The following is a 21,413-nucleotide window of genomic DNA, read 5'->3' on the forward strand; positions in this document are numbered from 1 at the left end:
TGAAATCTGAAGGCAGTGAAAGATGGTTGCACGAATTCAAGAAACAGTCACAAAATATTTAAGAGATAAAAACTGGTAGAGGCCGGGCGCAGTGGCTCACGCCTGTAATCCCAGCACTGTGGGAGGCCGAGGTGGGTGGATCGCGAGGTCAGGAGAATGAGACCATCCTGGCTAACACGGTGAAACCCCGTCTCTACTAAAAATAGAAAAAATTAGCCGGGCGTGGTGGCGGGCGCCTGTAGTCCCAGCTACTTGGGAGGCTGAGGCAGGAGAATGGCGTGAACCTGGGAGGCAGAGCTTCCAGTGAGCCGAGATCGCGCCACTGCACTCCAGCCTGGGTGACAGAGCAAGACTCCGTCTCAAAAACAAAACAAAACAAAACAAAACAAAACTGGTAGAACTCGGTGACTGAGTGAATGTGAAGGATTAAGAAGGGGGAAGTTTATGGCTTGCATGATAGTGCCAACAAATAAAACCATAAACTCAAAAGCAGAAACAGATTATCAGGTAGTGGGGAGATGAGGAGTTATGTTTCAGACACAATGAGCGGGCTTCAGATGTCTATGGATTACCCAAATAGAGATCCATCAAAACACAAACCTGAGAGCCCAGGAGAAAGGTCTGAGCAAACTTGGGAGACATCAACATGTAAGTGACAGGTAAATCCATAGATGTGAATTTTGCCCAGGGAGAATATGTAAGAAGAACAGTAACCTAGGGATAAAACCAAGGAACAGCAATAGTTAAAGGGTAGCCTGAAGGAAAAACAAAAAACAGAAGCTGGAAAAAAAAAAAGTCAATCTTTGGCTAGATCCTGAAGTTAGCTATCCATGCTGTGTAAACTCATGAATTTATAAGCTATTACTTTCTTCACTTTCCCCTCACCTCGCATTTCCTAGTAAGAAGTTCACTGCTGGACTGTAAAGTCCTTGAGAGGAAAGGGCATTTGACTTCCTATCACTAATGCCCAATATATATGCCTGGTACCCACATGCTTGTAGAATGAACCTGGCTGAACAGAGAAAAATGGATCATTTCCCACCTATTTAAACAAAAGTCTTGTGGAATTCCTAGAGCCTAGGGCTGCTTCCAGCCCAGAGCAGAGAAATACAGAACCTGAGGAGAATAGAAGCAGAAAGGAGGCTGACCTTATGCATTGTTGGAGGAAATGTAAAATAATGCAGCTGCTTTGAAAAACAGCCTGGCAGTTTCTCAAAATGTTAAACAGAGCGTTACCATATGACCCAGCAACTCCACTCCTAGGAATATACCCAAGAGAACTAAAAACATATGTTCACACGAAAATTTGTATACAAATGTTCACAGTAGTATTCATAATAACCAAAAGGTAGAAATAACCCAAATGTCCATCAACTGATGAACAGATAAACAAAATGTGGTACAGACATACAATGGAATATTATTTGGCAATAAAAAGGAATGAAGTACTGATCCATGCTACAACACAGATGAACCTTGAAAATTATTACATTATATCAAAGGCCACAAACTGTCAATTCTTTGTATATGAAAGGTTTGGAACAGGCAAATCCATAGAGACAGAAAGTAGATTAATGGTTGCCAGCAGCAGGAGGAGGAAAAGTGGAGTGACTATTAATGAATATGAGATTTCTTTCTGAGGTGACAAAAATGTTCTGGAATTAGTTAATAGTGACAGTTATACAACTTTGTGAATATCCTAAGAGTCATTAAATTGTACATTTTAGAGGCGTGAATTTTATGGTATGCGAATTATATCTCAATTTTTAAAAAAGAAAGGGGATAGAAACACAGGAAGGCTAGAATCCATGCTACATCCTAGATTTTTTCTAATTCAGGTGATTCCAAAACAAGGATACCAACAAAGTACCTAATAAGCAGAATTGGCAACAGTAACCATAAAAATTTTTAAACAATCTGTAATATAAGTTGATTACATCAAATAGACATCAAATTCCTCATGCAAAAATGGCAGTTTCCAAGTCTTCTCTTCTGGGGAAAAAGAGAACTGTCATATACCTTCGTGACCTGTGTAAAGGTAACTAACCTACATTTCTAGTTGAAGGAGGTTAATCCTAGTACCAGAAATCCCATCAGAACTTCTGGCTTTGCTGAAGCAAACCCTCACACACTGGAGCAGTTTCTCCTACCAGAGCACGACACAACATTCTAATCCACACCAGGGGATCCGCATGAGAAGCCCCTTATAATATTTTTATATTAAGAAAACAGGCCGGGCACAGTGGCTTACTCCTGTAATCCCAGCACTTTGGGAGGCCGAGGCAGGCGGATCACCTGATGTCAGGAGTTTGAGACCAGCCTGGCCAACATGGTGAAACCCCGTCTCTACTAAAAATACAAAAAACTAGCCAAGCGTGGTGGCACGCACCTGTAATCCCAGCTACTCGGGCAGCTGAGGCAGGAGAATCGCTTGAACCCAAGAGGCAGAGGTTGCAGTGAGCCAAGATCATGCCATTGCACTCCAGCTCAAGTAACAAGAGCGAAATTCCGCCTCAAAAAAAAAAAAATATATATATATATATACACACACACACACATACATGTATATATACACACACATATACACATATATACACACATATATACACATACACACACATATATACACATATACACACACATATATACATATACACACACATATATACATACACACACATATATACACGTATACACACACACATACACATATATACACACATATATACACATATACACACACATATACACGTATACATACACACACATATACACGTATATATACACGTATATATACACGTATATATACACATATATACACGTATATACACATATATACACGTATATATACACATATATACACGTATATACACATATATACACGTATATATATACACACATATATATACACACACATATACACACACACACATATATATACACACATACACACACACACACACACACACACACATATATATATAGTTGGCCGGGCATAGGGGCTCACACCTGTAAACCCAGCACTTTGGGAGGCAGAGGAGGAAGTTCCCTTGAGCCCAGGAGTTCAAGTGCAGCCTGGGCACTATAGCAAGACCCCTTCTCTGTTATTTGTATTAAAATTTTTTTTTAATTTTTAAAAATTTTTTAGGTTGGGCACGGTGGCTCATGCTTGTAATCCCAGCACTTTGGGAGGCCGAGGCAGGTAGATCACCTGAGGTCAGGAGTTCGAGACCAGCCTGGCCAACATGGTGAAACTCCATCTTTACTAAACTACAAAAATTAGCCAGGTGTGGTGGTGCACACCCGTAATCTCAGCTACTTGGGAGGCTGAGGCAGGAGAACTGCTTGAACTCAGGAGGCAGAGGTTTCAGTAAGCCAAGATGGTGCCATCGCACTCCAGCCTGGGAAACAGAGCAAGACTCCATTTCCAAAAAAAAAAAAGTTTTAAGAAAATTACGGCTATAAAACAAATGCAGTTCTTCATAACTGTAGGGAAAAAGGACTTAAGCACACATGCATTTACTACAATTTGAATGCCAATACCAATACGATCAAAAGAAGCTAAACTACTACCTCAGTGGGAATGGTGCTCTTAACATTGTTCTGAAACTCCTAATTTCCTTAACTAAAAAAAGGCAGAAAAGTATGCATAATGCAAATTACAAACACTACAGAGAAAATGTATGGAAATCGTTTTCCCCGCCCCCTCTCCCAAAAGAATGTTAGACACACTTTATAGAAACCGTGCTTACTCCAAATAGCTCACCAAGTGAAGGTTACTGTGAAATACTTCAAATTCCATAAGCCCCTCAGTACTGCAAAGACTGTGGGAAGGGAATGTTCCAAGCACAGACTAATGGACAGAAGGTACAAATGAAATAAGCCCTGATGCATGACTATCTAAGGAAGTCTAAACTGAAGACTCAATATATTTGTTCTGAAGTTATTAACCAAGCTTCAGTTTCTTAAATACATTCAAAACATTTAGCATATTCTTATAAGTCCCAAGTATAAATGACAGAGGTCTGTCATTGAAGATAATTAAAATAATTTATTTTGCCTAGTTTAGGATAGATAAATCTCTGTCATAGTTCAGACTTAAGTTTTTGTATTTTGAATTTTTTATACCAACAATGTGAATTCTTATTGTGTTTGTTGACTGTGTTAACAATAATACAAGTTATACCAACTTGGAATTTTTATTTTAATTTTGGGGATGTGTCCGTATTTTAACTCAGCAACTTTAATCCAGTGATCAAAGCTTCATTCGCTTGTAAACTGTTTCTCAGGTAAACTGAATTGCCCCATACCAGCATCTTAAGCAAATAAATAAGTACAAAACAGGCAGAGATTATAAATTAGAGCAGACAAATCTGTATCTCACCCCACGCCGGTAAAGAGCATTCTATCAATATAGTGAAATGCTAATCTCCTAATTAACAACCTAATTAGGTAATTATGGCTTTGCAGAGGGATGCCGAAATGAAATATGACAACATGGTCACCTCTTTATATGGCACCTGTGGGCCTTTTCAGCTGTCATTGCAAAGAGTGCAATATCAATTTGAACAGATGACAAAGTGCTGTCATTTTTCATTCTGATAATATACAGAATGCTTTGGACAGAAGTAGTTTACAAAAGAAACATCTTGCCTGATATTTTCCTAATTTAAATATGCTCAAATACTTCGGTAAATTTTTTGCATTGTACATAAGAGAATCAGTATGCACATTTTTATATTGTACATAAGAGAATCAGTATGCGCATTTGAAAAAAACAAACCTAACTGGCCATCATGCTTAACTGTACAAGCTGAAACTATTTCTTTTCTTTCTTTTTTTTTTTGAGACGGAGTTTCACCATTGTTGCCCAGCCTGGAATGCAATGGCGCAATCTTGGCTCACTGCAACCTCCACCTCCCGGGTTCAATTGCTTCTCCTGCCTCAGCCACCCGAGTAGCTGGGATTATAGGCATGTGCCATCACACCCGGCTAATTTTGTATTTTTAGTAGAGACGGGGTTTCTACATGTTGGTCAGGCTGGTCTTGAACTCCCAACCTCAGGTGATCCACCTGCCTCAGCCTCCCAAAGTGTTGGGATTACTGTGCCCAGCCTGAAACTATTTCAATTATAAAGTATATGATAATTAGAAAAGAGTAAAAGGCAACAATTCATCATATTTTAACACTCATATTTTTACTAACTACTGCTATCAGAAAAACTGAAATCCAAACAAACGTGATCTTCAATCTTCTTCTCACAAAATAAAATAAGTGAGACAGACATTCACATTTGTTAAAATAAATTAAAACAGACCAGGCCTGGCCAGATGCAGTGGTTCATGCTTACAATCCCAACAATTTGGGAGGCCGTGGTAGTGCATGCCTGTAGTCCCAGCTGCTGGGGAGGAAGAGGTGGGAGGATCGCTTGAGTCCAGGAAGTTGAGGCTGCAGTGAGCCGTGATCGTGCCACTGCACTCCAGCCTGGTCAATAGAGCAAGAACCCTGTCTCGAAAAAAAAACAAAAAAAAAACAAAAAACAAACAAACAAAAAAACAAATAAAACAACAACAACAACAAAACAAAAAAATCAGACCTGGTCTGAAAAATTCAAGCAGACAAAACTAGTTAGGCCTTATAAATGACCTTAACCTTGTTTGATTTGCAAACATAGGCAAAACTTGAGATATGTCTTATAAATGCATATATGAAAAAAAAAACAAAAAACCTTAAGCTTATCTAGTCAGAAGCAGCCAACAAACTTATGTAACTGAGGACTTTCCAATGGTAGTGATCAACTGTATAACTAATCAATCAAATCTTTTGTTTTACTTCCACAGTCTTCCTACAAAAGCTTCCCCCGCTTACTTTCCCTCAATGGAGCCCCAGAATCACTTCTGATTTGAAGCTGCCCAATTCATGAATCGCTGTTTGTGCAAATAAACTCTAAAATCTTATGCCTCAGTTTACCTTAACACACATAATTTTCCATACCAAAAAATCACTTCCCAAATACGTAAGCATTCAACTCACTATCTCTATCTACCAAAGGCCAACCTCAACTCCACAGAGATAGGAGTGGACTCCCTCTGAAAGTAAAGACGGAGCTGTCACAGGCCTACTCGTTGTCCCTGTGGCCACTGAAGAGGTGATGGTAGCACCGGGATAATGATACCACCAATACGAATACAACTCTTCTTCCAGAATACTGTCTTAAATAGGACTTTTGGGGGAAAAGAAGGCTTTCCTGGGAATAGTAACATCATTTATGTCAGGACATATGAAACCATGTTCTAAGTGCAAAATAAAAGAGGTGAAAACTAACTTGAAAATACAATCCATTTACAACTTCACAATCACCTGCATTAGTGAAAACTATTGGTTAAAATGATGGTCACTGACTCTACTCATATTTGTTAATATCAATTTTAAACTATGATTTATTTTTAAATAATTTGTTTATCAAAGAACATTTCTAAAACTGAGAAAAATATCAAGTCTTATAATCTCACCACCTATTTCTTTTCTTTGCATACATGTTTGACATAATTGGGACCATACTTTATAGAGTGTCATATCCTTTTTTCACTTATTATATGGTTAGCATATTAGTATGTCACTAAAATTCTTCTGAAACATCTAAGATGACTGTATATTATTTCCATTCTATGAATTTTCCATGATTTCTCTAATTTTTATTGAACATTAAGGTTCTAATTTTTGCTAAATACTGCTGCAGTGAACATCTTTGAACACGAATATCTTTCGACATCTCTGATTTCTTTAATAAAGATTCCTAGAAATGGAATTACAAGCTCAAAAGGCATGCATAACTTTTTTTAAAAGCTTGTTAATAAATACTGCCAAAGTGCTTTCCAGAAAAGTTTTACTCATTTACATTCCCACTATCAATATGAGTAACCATCTTACCATCTTACCACCAATCTTTATTATCAATGAGTATTAGTATTTTCATCAAATCCTTAAGCTTCATATCATAACACTATACCTATAATCAAACACTCTCACAATATAATCAATAATAACTTTCTGTAAACATTAAGTTTAAATGAAGGCAAAGGGCCATAATTAATGACAGTCCCAAGACAGGGCCAGTCCCAATATCCAAATCCAGAGCAGCATGGAAAAGTGACCCCCAACTCCAAAAAAAAAGTAATAGTGCTTTTCAGTACTCTGAGTCAAAACAAAGGTCAAGTCCTAGTTTTGCTACTCACGCATGCGCGTTCTCGCTCTCTCTATACGTATATACAAAAAGTATATATATATACACACACATATGTGTATATATATGTGTGTGTATATATATATTCCATCTCAAAATATATAAATATATAATTTATAAATATATATAATACATAATATATATAAATATATATATATATATATATATATATATATATATATATATATATATATAAAATATATATATTTTTTGAGATGGAGTTTCACTCTTGTCACCCAGGCTGGAGTGCAATGGCGCAATCTTGGCTCATGGCAACCTCCGACTCCCGGGTTCAAGCAATTCTCCTGCCTCAGCCTCCCGAGTAACTGGGACTATAGGCGTGTGTGTGCCACCACGCCTGGCAAATTTTTGTATTTTTAGTAGAGACAGGGTTTCGCCATGTTGGCCAGGCTGGTCTCGAACTCCTGACCTCAGGTGATCCACCTGCCTCAGCCTCCCAGAGTGTTGGGATTACAGGCATGAGCCACCGCACCCGGCCCGGTAGCTCTATATTTTTATTAATAATTACATTACTTCTCTAAGCTTCAGTTTCGGCATTTGTAAAATGGGGACGGGGATAACATAATATCCCTTTTCTAACAAAGAGCAGTTACAGGCACAAAAAAGATAATATAAACACTTGGAAGTGTTTCTTGTTACTCAGCAGATCAATTCACATAATAGCTTAAAAACAGCATCCTAAAGTCCTTCTCTCAATACAGTATGTAGGTGCACTAATTTACAAAACACAACAGAAATTAACAAATTTCATGATCCAGACATGAAAATGAGTCTCACTCTTTTATGACCACTCCATCAAATCATTGCTTATTACATCATATTAACATCCTGAATGTCTTATGCCCTGAATGCCATTAGAGGTTGGCATCCCTTATCTAAAATGCTTGGGACCAGAAGTGTTTCAGACTCTGGATTTTCTTTGAATTTTGGAATATTTTCATATATATCATGCAGTATCCTGGGGATAAGACACAAGTCTAAACACGCAATTCACTTATATTTCATATACACTTTACACACATAGCCTGAAGGTAATTTTATACTAACTTTTTTTTTCTTTTTTGAGGCAGGGTCTCCCTCTGTCATCCAGGCTGGAGTGCAGGAGCACAATCATGGCTCACTGCAGCCTTGACACCCCGGGCTCAAACGATCCTCCTGCCTCGGCCTCCCAAGTAGCTGGGACTACAGGCACACACCACCACACCAAGCTAATTGTTTTGATTTTTAGTAGAGACAAGGTCTTGCTGTGTTGCCCAGGCTAGTCTCTAACTCCTGAACTCAAGCAATCCTCCCACCTTGGCCTCCCAGGATTGCTGGTTATGAGCCACCTCACCCAGCCAGTATTTTTAATAATTTTATGCATGAAATAAAGTTTTAACTGCAACCTGTCACATGAGGTCAGGCATAGAATTTTCCAATTGTGGCATCATGTCAGTTCGAAAAGTTTTGAATTTTGAAGGATTTTTGATTTTGATTTTTTTTTTTTTTTGAGACAGTCTTGCTCTGTTGCCCAGGCTGGAGTACAGTGGTGTGATCATGGCTCACAGCAGCCTCAGCCCCCTGGGCTCAAGCAATCCTCCTACCTCAGCCTGGAACTACAGATGTGCGCCACCATGCCTGGCTAATATTTTTGTAGAGACAGGGTTTCATTATTTTGCCCAGGCTGCTCTTGAACTCCCAAGCTCAAGCAATCCACTCATCTTGGCCTCCCAAAGTGCTGGGATTAAAGGTGTGAGCCAGCAAATCTGGCCCAGATTTTGAATATTTTGAGTAGGGATGCTCAGCCTGGACCTGCATCTCTCCAGAAGCACTACAGTACTTACAAGGTACTTACATATATTGTTTCATTTAGTCCTCACTAAGGACTATGTGAGATTGGCATTACTGTCCCCATTTTGCAGACTGTCCAGCTTACAGACTGACAAAGCCAATAATCAAATCCAAGCGGGTCTGCCCAAAGCCCCATGTCACACTGCTTAAAATTCAAGTCTGCACTTCAGTTCTTCGTTAGTCTCCTTTATGTCAGTAACTAAGGTTCAGATTAAATACTCGCTTTATTTTCAAAAGAAAACCATTCCTTCAAACAATTTTCTACCAATTTCTCTGCTGAAATGGTACTTATTTATAACACAGTACCTTAAAATGAGTCCATAAGGAACTGGAAAATGTTATTTTTTTTGAAGTTTTACACATTCAGTACACTTTGCATCAATAATAAAAGTATATTCATAAAAGTATACTCACGTATAGGATATTAAGAATCTAACACTGCTTATATTTAGGCATAAATGTGACATAATATTCCACTTATTTCACAAGCAATTACTATAACTTAATTCCAATAGTTATTCTAATACCTTCTTGTTCTTTCTAGAGTTTCGGGTTTGTTTTTTAAGTGGTTTCTCCCATTTTTCTCACTTTCAATTACATAAAACTGTATTCTACTTTCAGTCCAAATTTTGTGTTGCCTATATTAAATCCATTTCCCCAATATATCTAGACTGCTGCCAACTAGAGTTAATAAATTTTGAATGACTGCTCAGGATTTATTCCCTTTATTTTTATATTCTGTTATTTCCTTATACAATAGAGTATGAATGAAAACAAGTATCTACAAGACCAGTATTTCTTCAATTTTCACCTTGTGAAAGCTGGGTATTAAAATAAAAATAAATTAAACTCTTGGGCTGGGAACTCCCTGACCATATTTCTCTCACTGTGCTGGGTGTCTCTACGCCCCCTTTCAATCTTGAGTACATATAGTCAATAGGCACTGCATGCACTGGGGGAGCACCTGGCCCATCAAGGGCCTTTCCCAGAGGAAGTAATGAATAAAGAACAGATGAAGAGCTGAGTAGTGGTTCCTGACCTGCCAGCAAGAGAGGAGGGGCAGCATTTTAGATTTGAGTCATCTCCACTGGAGTCTGCCAGTAATCAGTTGTGTGACTTTAAGCATATCAATTAGAAACAGAAAGCTTGGCATCCCGAAAAGAAAACCATTCCTTCAATTTTCTACCAATTTCTCTGCTGAAATGGTACTTATTTGTAACACAGTACCTTAAAATGAGTCCGCAGGGAACTGGAAAATGTTATTTTTTTGAAGTTTTACACATTCAGTATACTTTGCATCAGTAATAAAAGTATATTAGTAAAAGTATACTCAAGTATAGGATATTACGAATTGAATTTCAGCAAGACTTGAATTTTACTCCTCATTATTTATCCAAAAAGGAAAAAAGATCCGAGGATTTGTAAGTGACGTGACCAAACTCCAAAGGCTGTTAGCGGTATCCGCATATTCAGGATGCAAATCACTCTCTAGTCAACTGCACTTGCTACTAAACTGTGATTCACTGGCTGTTAGTGGTATCCGCATATTCAGGATGCAACACCCTCTCTAGTCAACTGCTCTTTCCACTAAACTGTGATTCACTGGGTGCCGATTTCTTCATCTCAAGAGGTGATGATTACCCCCTTTGTAATACTACCTATCTCATAGGACTATGAAGACTAAAGAAAATAAGGTATACAAGAGCATTTAACAAATTTACCATACCACTTCATACTATTGTGGAGAGGGCCAAGAGACAAGAAATCTGGTAGCATTTAAAGTGCTAAGAGCACAAAATAGAAGTGTTATAAGGTCATCTCACCAGCCAGATCTATACTTTAGCTTGATTATACAATAAAAGCATTGACCTTGCCACTCTCCAAAACTATCAGCGCAAGCTACAATGCCCCCTCACACTGGCAATTTACCATGAGATTTCTAATCAATAATCAAAACATTGTATTGTATACTTCCTGCTCTGAACAACAGGTACCAAAATTTCAGCAGCCAGGTAGGTTGGAGTTCACAATCAGGCAGCCTAGAATTACACTCAGCCCACAAATATGTTTTGATCAACATAATTTTTAATGGCAAATTTTTAAACTAAATACATTAAAATCCACGACATGCAGTGGCTCACACCTGTAATCCCAACAATTTGGGAGGCCATGGCAGGAGTATCATTTGAAGGCAGGAGTTCAAGACCAGCCTAGGCAACATAGATAGACACCATCTCTACAAAATTTTTTTAAAAATTAGGCCGGGCGCAGTGGCTCACGCCTGTAGTCCCAGCACTTTGGGAGGCCAAGGCAGGTGGATCACCTGAGGTCGGGAGTTCGAGACCAGCCTGACCAACATGCAGAAACCCCGCCTCTACTAAAAATACAAAATTAGCCAGGCGTGGTGGCGCATACCTGTAATCCCAGCTACTCAGGAGGCTGAGGCAGGAGAATTGCTTGAACCCAGGAGGTGGAGGTTGCAGTGAGTCAAGATCGCGCCATTGCACTCCAGCCTGGGCAACAAGAGCGAAACTCCTTCCCACAAAAAAAATAAAAGCAACAACTAGCTAGTACATGGCCGGATGCAATGGCTCACCCCTGTAATCCCAGCACTTTGAGAGCCTGAAGCAGGCGGATCACTTGAGGTCAAGAGTTCAAGACCAGCCTGGCCAACACGGCAAAACCCTGTCTCTACTAAAAATACAAAAATTAGCTGGGCGTGGTGATGGGCACCTGTAGTCCCAGCTACTCAGGAGGCTGAGGCAAGAGAATCGCTTGAACCCGGGAGGCGGACATTGCAGTGAGCCAAGGTCATGCCACTGCACTCCAGCCTGGGCAACAAGAGCGAGACTTTGTCTCAAAAAAAGAAAAAAAAAAAAAACTAGCTACACATAGTGGCATGCGCCTGTAGTCCTAGCTATTGGGGAGGCAGAGGTGGGAGGATCACTTGAGCCCAGAATTCAAGGCTGTAGTGAGCTATTACCACGAAACTGCACTCTAGCCTGATAGGACGATACCCTGTCTCTAAAAGTTAAATAAATAAATAAGAATAAATTAAAATCCAGATTTCCAGCATCTTTTCCAAAAAGTGTCAAAAGATCCAAGGACACTGGGCCCACTTCCTCACATGGCAACAAGCAAGTGGAGCTGAGCAGCAACTGCTCCCTTTAGTTTGGGCCCGTGCTCTCCAGTTCATCAAGGCCCAGCCTACTCATCCTAGTACATAACAGGCATCGGACTTGGAGACCACTGAGGAAGATGCTCAAACAGAACAATAATAATAATTTAATGAAGATTTGTTTACTCTTTTTTGGCCAGTTTTTTGTGGCTCTATCACACATTAGCTCTGTGACTCTTAAGTAACATATTTAACCACTAAGCCTCTTAAATTTAACACAAGCTGAAATATGCTGACTTCTGAGTCAAAAAACTTCACAAAAACTTCGAACTCACAGAAACAAGTCAGGGCACCTCCCATAGGGAAAAAACGTAATGTGGCCACGAATGGTGGCTCACGCCTGTAATCCCAGCACTTTGAGAGCCCGAGGCAGGCAGATCACTTGAGGTCAGGAGTTTGAGACCAGCCTGGCCAACACAGCAAAACCCCGTTTCTACTAAAAACACAAAAATTGGCCAGGCGTGGTGGCACCTGCCTATAGTCCCAGCTACTTGGGAGGCTGAGGCAAGAGAATCTCTTGAACCCAGGAGGCAGAGGTTGCAGTCAGCCAAGATCATGCCACTGCACTCCACCCTGGGTGATAGAGCAAGACTGTCTCAAAAAAAAAAAAAAAAACAAGTAACGTGACAGAAGTCCTTGTCATATAATAATTTGACATCTACAACTGCGTCCGTAACAGTAAGGCCTATACATCAGAATAACAGATTGCCAGCAAATTATCTTAGGCTGAATCATATAAATCCACTCAACTGCAAAAGTTTCTGAAGTCTTCAGGTATAAGTCAATAAGCAAAACAAGCTCCCCCACCAAAAAAGAAAAACATTTAAAGTAACAGATAAGGCTATGAGCTCCTTTAGTGCAAAGGCCACTTCCATTCCTCGTGATCCCTCCTGTCTCACAATGACTGGCACACTGAAGCTACAGCTCAAGGGCAAGTTTCTCTCTGAAGCCTTTCCAGAGGGTCCGCATCCACATCACAAAGAACAAGCAACATGGTGTAGTAATGAAGAGTGCCGATCTCAGTGTTCAGCAGATAATCCCCTCTATCTTACAGCTCTACCAGCAGCATAAACTCAAGGAAGTTATTCAAGGTCTCTGTGCCCCAGTTTCCTCATCTGTAAAATCAGGATGCTAATAACACCTTCTCACACGAGAAAAAAATGAGATAAAGCATTTAACATCACACCAGCAGAGTAAGTACTCATTACCTACCATCATCAGTGTTTCCTTCTCAGTGTTCTATGGTACCTCCTGGGGACTTCTACCTTAGAACCCACAGTACTTTATTATGGTTCACCTGCACACACACAGACATCTCCTCTACTAGAATGTCAATAACCTCAGGATAGGGACCCAATTTTACTTCTTTTTGTATCCCCAAGGTCTAACATTTTGCTTGGCACTGCTGAAATGAATCGTAGATCCTCGAAGTATTTATTAACTGGAAAAGTTATTAGCAGAAACTGGAATTTACCTCCCTTGCCTGGTACTCAAGCCCTCACTGACTCTGACCCCTACCGCCCCTCCAACTTTACGTCCTTGTACCCTGCTAAAAGAAGCAATGACTTGCATGACTCAGGCTGTAAACTCACTCACCAGTCTAAAACCATGCCTCAAGCATTATACCTTTGTATCTTATAGCTATTTATTTCGGGGGACTTTACCACGTACCAGGCCCTTTATCCCCATTAGTTCAATAAATATTCACAACACTCCATGTGGTCAATATTATTCCCTAACCCAACCCCTAGTTGAAGAAAGTGATGCTTGGAGTTATGTGTCGAAGGTCACATATCCTGTAAGAACAGGGACCAGGAATTGAATCCAGAGTCCATGCCTATTTTCTATAGACTGTCTTCTCTGCTCATATTCAAAGCTGAGCTAACTAACCTACCTGCCATCTCCTTGCCTTGGAAGAGCACAGTCTTTACATTTAAAAGATTTCTGTACCATTCATTTTAACATTCATATGTTTTGTCCTATATAACTTTTGGTTTCAATATGTACTTGCATAAAAAGAGGGAGATGATGTGAGAAAAAGGCAAGACATGTAATGGAAAAAGCACAGATTTAGGCATCAGACAGACCTGGGTTTGAATCCTGGCTCTGTCTCCTACCAGCTGTGTAATTTATTATGGGTCTTCCTAATCTGTAAATTGAGGTTAAAATGATTAAACAATAGAAACCCCTATATAATACCCAAATACTCAAAGTTTAGTTTACCTCAAATTATGAAGCATTACCTGGCCACATCCCATCCCTCAAAGGTGAATAACCCATTCCCCTCCCGCACCTACCACTGTCACAAGAACTCTCACACAATGTACTTATCACGGTGTTAGAATTATTCATTTCCCTTATCTCTCTTTCACTAAATTGAGCTCCCTGGCAGCAAAGACTGAATCTTATATTTATCTCTAATTGCCTAGCATGGTACCTGGCATATATATACATATCCATATTCAGTAAACATTTGCTAAGTTAAATAATTGTAGATAAAAATGAGCGCTTATAGAATTCTAGAGGAAAAATCATTTCCAGGTGGGGTTGTCCTGAATTGGTTGGGTGAGGCCAACTCAGCTGAGCCGTGGGAAGCGTCTCAATAGACTGAAAGAGAAAAGGGGAAACCTAGGCAAGGTAGGGAGAATGTTCTACAAAAATCAATGGAATAGGAAAGAACAAAAATGATTAGAGATCCTACTTATTCAGAGTAATGGATCAGGATGGGGTAATTAAAGAAGGAGACCTTTTCAAGCATAACTGGAAAGGTAACCAGGAGCCAGATTAGGAGATGTAAGGGGGTGTAAGTGCAGTCTGGGACACACAGTAGTTGAAGGTAGGCATGAGCACACAGATGAATGGGAAAGGGCTACCAGCATGCCCCAAATCCCGCAGGTGTGTAAACTGAAAAACATGAAAACAATTATTGCTTCATCAAGAACTCTTTCCGTGTTTACTAGGTACCTTGTGTGGGCTCATAAAATATAAGGAATAAAACCCATATCTAGGCTTCTGCTCAAGTGGGTTTTAACATTACGGATCCACCTCTCCTGCTTGTCAGAGAATGAGAACGCTGCTTTTTTTAAACCAATGGGTCTCCATTTGACTCTTCACACCTGGGAAAGTTTTGAACTTTGCCGATTTGGGTTTATAACAACATGGTGCTTTGTACAGTGCCAGGTACTGTGGTGGGCTTCCAAAGTGACTTTCATTCATTCAAAAGGAAGTTTTAACCAATTTCTGAGTCAATTTGGGGGTCTCTGGTTAAAGTCATAATCTTGTTTACGCTACAATCTCTTTTTCCCAGCCTTAAACAAATCTAAATGACTCCTTGCCACTCCCATAAACAAAGAATGAATCAAAGTTCCAGCAGCACTGTAGCTAGAAAAAAGTCTGTAAGGCTGTTAACCTCTTTAAGGGGGAGGGGGAGAAGGGACGCAAGGAAACAAGGACCACACAGTCAATGCTTGAAAACCTTGATTTTCACATTATGAAGACCAGGGCACCTAGATATTGCCAAGTGCAGGCCCAGAAACTGCCGGAGTCAACTACACCCCCCACCCCCACACTACCAGGTCAGCTGGCTTCTTTTCCCCTAAACCACACACCCGCCTCAGACTCCTGACAGCCTCCAGTTCTGGAAATGGCCAGGAAACGAACGCGCCCGGGCCACCTGAACAAGGGCCCGGCAGGCGGCCCGCCGGGCAGCGCTGAAACTGGAGGGGTGAGAGGGCCGCCAGGTGGGCAAGCTGGTGGGCTGACGGACGGGCGGGGAGCTGGCGGCTGGGGCAACCTTTACCTGAAGCTGCTTCCACACTACGGGCCGGGTCGGCCCCGGGACACGTTCCTGAGGGGAGGGCCCGGCTCCCCCACGCCTCCCGGCCCCTGCCCCGAGCTCTGCACTCTCGGGATCCACGGGGACCGGCGCTCCTCCCGGCCCGCTCAGCTGCCGCTTCCCGGGTTAGCCCTCATGCCCCTGCTGCTCGCCGCCGCCGGCCGGCCGAGCAGCAGCCCTATTACCCCGAGCCGCACACGACCCGGAACCACACCCCGGCGTTCCGGAAGTCCCCGACCGGGAAGGAGCCTCTGGCTGGGGACGTAGTGCGCAAGCCCCAGAGCTGAAAGCAAGGAGCGGTAGCTTCCCGCGGGGCGGGGCCGGGAGGGAGGCCGGGCGCATGCGCGCCGCTTCTCCAGTGCAGGGAAAGGCCTGGGTCGGAGACTGAGTTCTGGCAAGATGCGCCAGTGCCTGGACTTGCCTTGAGCAGGAATCAGTGTTAGGCTTCTCCATCGAATCTTCTTTCTCCCCATTTCCACGGAGAAAAGCCCTTAGTTCGTCCAGAAATGAGTGATGAGGCAGCTCAGCCTCTCTGAGAAAGACCTGGGTTCAAATGCCAGCTCTTATAACTTGCTGTGTGTCCTAGGATGTGACACTTCTCTCTGAGCCTCGGGTTTTCCCATCCAGGGCAATAGTTTCAACTTTAGAGTATATTGCTGTGGGAATCGAATGGGATGATGCTTGAAAAACACCCAGCATAGTGCCTGACACATAGTAAACATGCAGTCAATGTTAGTTATTTCTCTTATTATAATATCTGTAATATGGAGGTGACAATAATCTTCCTCAAGCCCTGCTGGGAGGTTTCCAGGAGATGTAGGAGGACTGGCACAGGGCAGAAGTTCAGTGTGTCTCATGCTGCTCCCTTCCTCTCTCACGGAGGAAATCAGTAGAGAAAGCCACGATGAAGGGGGAAAAAGGATTCAGGGAGTGCAGTGAGAGTGGTTCTCCCACCTGAAAGATGCTTGGGGAAGTCTCTCAAAAACGCACCTTAGCAAAAGAAAAAACTCAAGGTTGAATTTCAGCCCTGAGGGACCCCTGCCCAATTTTAAACTTATTAATAAATATGCCATGGGGCCAGGCACGGTGGCTCACACCTGTAATCCCAGCACTTTGGGAGGCCGAGGAGGGCAGATCACTTGAGATCAGGAGTTCGAGACCAGCCTGGCCAACATGGTGAAACCCTGTCTCTACTAAAAATACAAAAATTAGTCTGGCGTGGTGGTGTGCACCTGTAGTCCCAGCTACTCAGGAGACTGAGGCAGGAGAATGGCTTGAACCCGGGAGGCAGAGGTTGCAGTGACCCAAGATCAGGCCACTGCACTCCAGCCTGGGTGACAGAGACTCTGTCTCAAAACAAAAAAACAAAAAACACGGTGGGTCTACCCATGTATTTCAAATATGGTCATCCATCACTTAATGATGAGGACACAAGAAATGCATCGTTAGCTGATTTTGTGGTTGTGTAAACATCATAGACTGTACTTACACAATGTCAGAGCCTACTACACACCTAGGCTGTTTGGTATTAGCCTATTGCTTCTAGGCTGCACACCTGTACAGCATGTTACTGTACCATATACTGTAGGCAATTCTAACACAATGGTATTTGTGTATCTAAACATCTCTAAATGCAGAAAAGGTACAATTAAAAGACCATGTTATAATCTTAGGGGACCACCATCATATGCACTCTGTCATTGACCAAAACATCCTCATTCCACGCATGACCATATGTGATTGATCTCTTACTACATCCCATTACTTTATGTAATTGGTATCTTACCACATATCTATACTGGGGGAATAGTGCACCTCAGCACCCAGACACACTCTTGCACACACACCACCACAGTTCCATCAGGGACCTGTCAGAGGCACTCTAACAAAGCAGCAGGTGTGAACAAGTTTGGATATTTGATTTTCTGAGGTCACCAGGTTATCTGTTCCTTCCTAAATCTTACTCTCCATTTTCCTCTCTCTCTCTCTCGAGTTCCAATCTGAAGCACAGCTGCCTGACTGTCTCCTAGACACATAAAACTCGACCTATCTAAAACTGCTAAGCAGTTATAGATTCTAAAGAGTAAATATTTCCTAGCACTTTGAGAGACCAAGGCAGGAAGATCATCTGAGCCCAGGAGTTCAAGACCAGCCTAGGCAACATGGTGAGACCCCATCACTACCTTAAAAAATTTATCTCTATATAGGCCGGGCACGGTGGCTCATGCCTGTAATCCCAGCACTTTGGGAGGCCAAGGGGTGCGGATCACAAGGTCAGAAGATCAAGACCATCCTGTCTTAACATGGTGAAACCCTGTCTCTACTAAAAAAAAAAAAAAAAAAATACGAAAAATTAGCCAGGCATGTGGCACACACCTGTAGTCCCAGCTACTTGAGAGGCTGAGGCAGGAGAATCGCTTGAACCTGGGAGGTGAAGGTTGCAGTGAGCACACCACTGCAGCCCAGCCTGGACAACAGAGTGAGAGTCTGTCTCAAAAAAATAAAAAATAAAAAAATATATATATACACACACATATACACATATATTTTTTTTAGCCAGGTGTGGTGGTGAATGCCTGTAGTCCTAGCTGCTTGGGAGGCTGAGATGGGATGATTGCTTGAGCCCTGGGAGGTCAAGGCTGCAGTGAGACGTGATCATGCCACTGCACTCCAGCCTGGATGAAAGAGCAATGCCCTGTCTTGAAAAAAAAATTAGAAAAATAAAAAGTGAATACTCACTCTGCCACTTACAAGTTTTGTGACTTCATCTCTCCAAGTTGCTTCTCTAAATATTCTTATCTTTACCTGGAAAATGGGAATGACAGAAGTCCTACATAACCTCATTAGTTTGTTGCAAGGATAGAATGACCTAATACATGTAGCTTACATATAACAGAGCCTGGCATGTGACTATTATTTACTAATGCCTACCAGTATGAGTATACCTCAGTCAGTAAGCAATACTTATTGAGTGCCTATTGAGATTCAGTGGTGAAAAAGCCAGACGGGGACCCTACCCTTAAGAAGCCTTGTAGTCAAGTTCGACTATGGGTTTGAAATACTGTAGTTACTGTGGTAAGTTGGCATGCAGTGATATATGGTAGGATTTCAAGGACAGTATTGAGGGCCCAGTTGAGAATGGAGACTAAATGTATGGTGATACTAATATGATGGCTAGTGTGATTATTCTATAGCTAGTTGGAGCAGTCACGATACACACACCCAAAGAATGAGAAGTTGGATTGATCCAAGGAAGGATTTTGCCAGACAGGTGTGATGGGGTCATATCAGCTTTTAAGAGTGCTTAAAACAATGAGCCATAGAAAGTATGCTGGATAGGGAAGCAAGAGAATTCCAGAAAAACAGGTATCACTGGCCTAAAGGTCTCAAATAGATGTAATGGAAGTCACTGATGAAGGAAAGCAGAAGGATGGAGGTTATTGTCACAGATGGATGTTTCAACAAATAACCTCAGAGGAGGAGCCATGTGAGAGGGGGTCCCAGCTAAAGTGGAATGGGGGGAAAATCACTGAAGATGAGATAGTCAAGGAACTGAGATCCTTGTGAACGTCCATCCCAAGATGGTGGACAGACATGGGGTGAAAAGGAAACCAGACGTGCTCCCCATGGCATCTGCAACTGAGGAACAGCACTGGGGAGGTAGATGAGGAGGAGAGAGGAGAAACTAATTGGATGGCATGAGCCTCCAAGAAGCAGGAGTTGTATTGGTGGAAGTGTCATTAAAGCATACATTGACCTGTCTCCTGACCTGGGGTGTACAGTGGTAGGACCATGAGAGCTAACACACATACAAATTTTTTTTTTTTTTTTGAGATGAAGTCTCGCTCTGTCGCCAGGCTAGAGTGCAGTGGCACGATCTCAGCTCACTGTAACCTCCGCCTCCCAGGTTCAAGCCATTCTCCTGTCCCAGCCTCCCGAATAGCTGGGACTACAGGTGCCCGCCACCATACCCGGCAAATTTTTCTATTTTTAGTAGAGACGGGGTTTCACCATGTTGGCCAGGTTGGTCTCGATCTCTTGACCTTGTGGTCTGCCTGCCTCTGCCTCCCAAAGTGCAAGGATTACAGGCGTGAGCCACCACACCCGGCCACAAAAATAACATTTTTACAGCACACTGATGGTGCTGGGCCAGGGGCTGGCTAGGGGACTCCCATAGACATCAGGGCAGCGGGACAGGTACCTGGGCATACCTATGACAATCAGGCTTCACAGCCTTCATCTCCAGCTTGGAAAGGAAGCCATGTTAGGGGGTGGAGGTTCTTTTTCTTCTGGTTCCCGGGACTAGAGAGGGTCAGTGGGCAGAAGTTCAAAAACACCTACTACCGGGCCGGGCGTGGTGGCTCCTGCCTCTAATCCCAACGCTTTGGGAGGCCAAGGCGGGCGGATCATGAGGTCAGGAGATTGAGACCATCCTGGCTAACACGGTTAAACTCCGTCTCTACTAAAAATACAAAAAATTAGCCAGACGAGGTGGCAGGCACCTATAGTCCCAGCTACTGGGGAGGCTGAGGCAGGAGAATGGTGTGAACCTGGGAGGCGGAGCTTGCAGTGAGCCGAGATCATGCCACTGCACTCCAACCTGGGCGACAGAGCGAGACTCTGTCTCAAAAAAATCAAAATAAAACAAAACAAAAACAAAAACAAAAAAAACACCTACTACCTGTGTGGCCTTCAACAAGTTACTTGCCTTTCTTGTGTCTGTTTTCTCATCTAGGTTGTTGTGAGAATTCCATGAGGTACTGCAGAGAGAGTAACTAGAACAGTGCCTGGTATACAGGAGGTGTTGCATAAATGCCAGCTCTTCTGGCCCGGCACGCCAAGATGGGCAGTAAGGATCAGGTCCCTTCACACATTCAGTTTCCTCACAGCCCCTCAAGCCTCAATTGTTGTTTGCCTTTCCACTCAGCAAACTCCAATTCATTTTGGGGGGCAGCCTAAAACAACAACCATGTATTATTTCTCAGGATTCTGTGGGTTGATAGGTGTTTCTCCTGCCAATCTATCCTGGGCTTGCTCATGCAATTGCCGTCAGATGGAAGCTAGAATGCCTGGAAGGACTAAAATGGCCTCACTCATGGCAGCAGATGTTGGCCAGACTATCTTGATTTTTCTCCTTGTGGCCTGTCTGGTGGCTATCTTGGCTTTCTGTATAACATAATGACAGAATTCTAACAGAGTACGCTCTAATGTGCAAGTGATTTTTAAAACTACAGTTCTTGGCTGGACATGGTGGCTCACGCCTGTAATCTCAGCACTTTGGGAGGACAAGGCGGGTGGATCACGAG

The 21,413-nt window shown here is 42.2% G+C and overlaps 1 protein-coding gene across 6 annotated transcripts in view, besides 5 other annotated features; it reads right to left on the reverse strand.

The window, feature by feature from the left end:
• The window catches only part of MAPKAP1 (MAPK associated protein 1), a 269,815-nt gene extending 253,506 nt beyond the window's left edge, over nucleotides 1–16,309 (reverse strand). For all 6 annotated transcript variants that reach the window (NM_001006621.2, NM_001006620.2, NM_024117.4 and 3 more), the window contains exon 1: nucleotides 16,072–16,309. The gene's annotated coding sequence lies outside the window, so the exon portion shown is untranslated. The remainder of the gene's footprint in view (nucleotides 1–16,071) is intronic.
• Nucleotides 5,205–5,944: an enhancer, noted in NCBI's record as "H3K27ac-H3K4me1 hESC enhancer chr9:128458383-128459122 (GRCh37/hg19 assembly coordinates)". NCBI's record gives its function as "activates a minimal SCP1, AML or CMV promoter by ChIP-STARR-seq in primed H9 embryonic stem cells {active_cell/tissue: H9 hESC(primed)}" and the evidence as "EXISTENCE:reporter gene assay evidence [ECO:0000049][PMID:30033119]".
• Nucleotides 16,013–16,242: a silencer, noted in NCBI's record as "silent region_20278". NCBI's record gives its function as "represses an Ori minimal core promoter by ATAC-STARR-seq in GM12878 lymphoblastoid cells {active_cell/tissue: GM12878}" and the evidence as "EXISTENCE:reporter gene assay evidence [ECO:0000049][PMID:35858748]".
• Nucleotides 16,231–16,525: an enhancer, noted in NCBI's record as "tiled region #13831; HepG2 Activating DNase unmatched - State 1:Tss, and K562 Activating DNase unmatched - State 1:Tss". NCBI's record gives its function as "activates a minimal TATA promoter and a strong SV40 promoter by Sharpr-MPRA in HepG2 and K562 cells {active_cell/tissue: HepG2 | K562}" and the evidence as "EXISTENCE:reporter gene assay evidence [ECO:0000049][PMID:27701403]".
• Nucleotides 16,353–16,522: a silencer, noted in NCBI's record as "silent region_20279". NCBI's record gives its function as "represses an Ori minimal core promoter by ATAC-STARR-seq in GM12878 lymphoblastoid cells {active_cell/tissue: GM12878}" and the evidence as "EXISTENCE:reporter gene assay evidence [ECO:0000049][PMID:35858748]".
• Nucleotides 16,523–16,682: an enhancer, noted in NCBI's record as "active region_29014". NCBI's record gives its function as "activates an Ori minimal core promoter by ATAC-STARR-seq in GM12878 lymphoblastoid cells {active_cell/tissue: GM12878}" and the evidence as "EXISTENCE:reporter gene assay evidence [ECO:0000049][PMID:35858748]".

The sequence above is a fragment of the Homo sapiens genome, chromosome 9 (assembly GCF_000001405.40).
Source record: "Homo sapiens chromosome 9, GRCh38.p14 Primary Assembly".
In the NCBI taxonomy this organism is placed as follows: domain Eukaryota; kingdom Metazoa; phylum Chordata; class Mammalia; order Primates; family Hominidae; genus Homo; species Homo sapiens.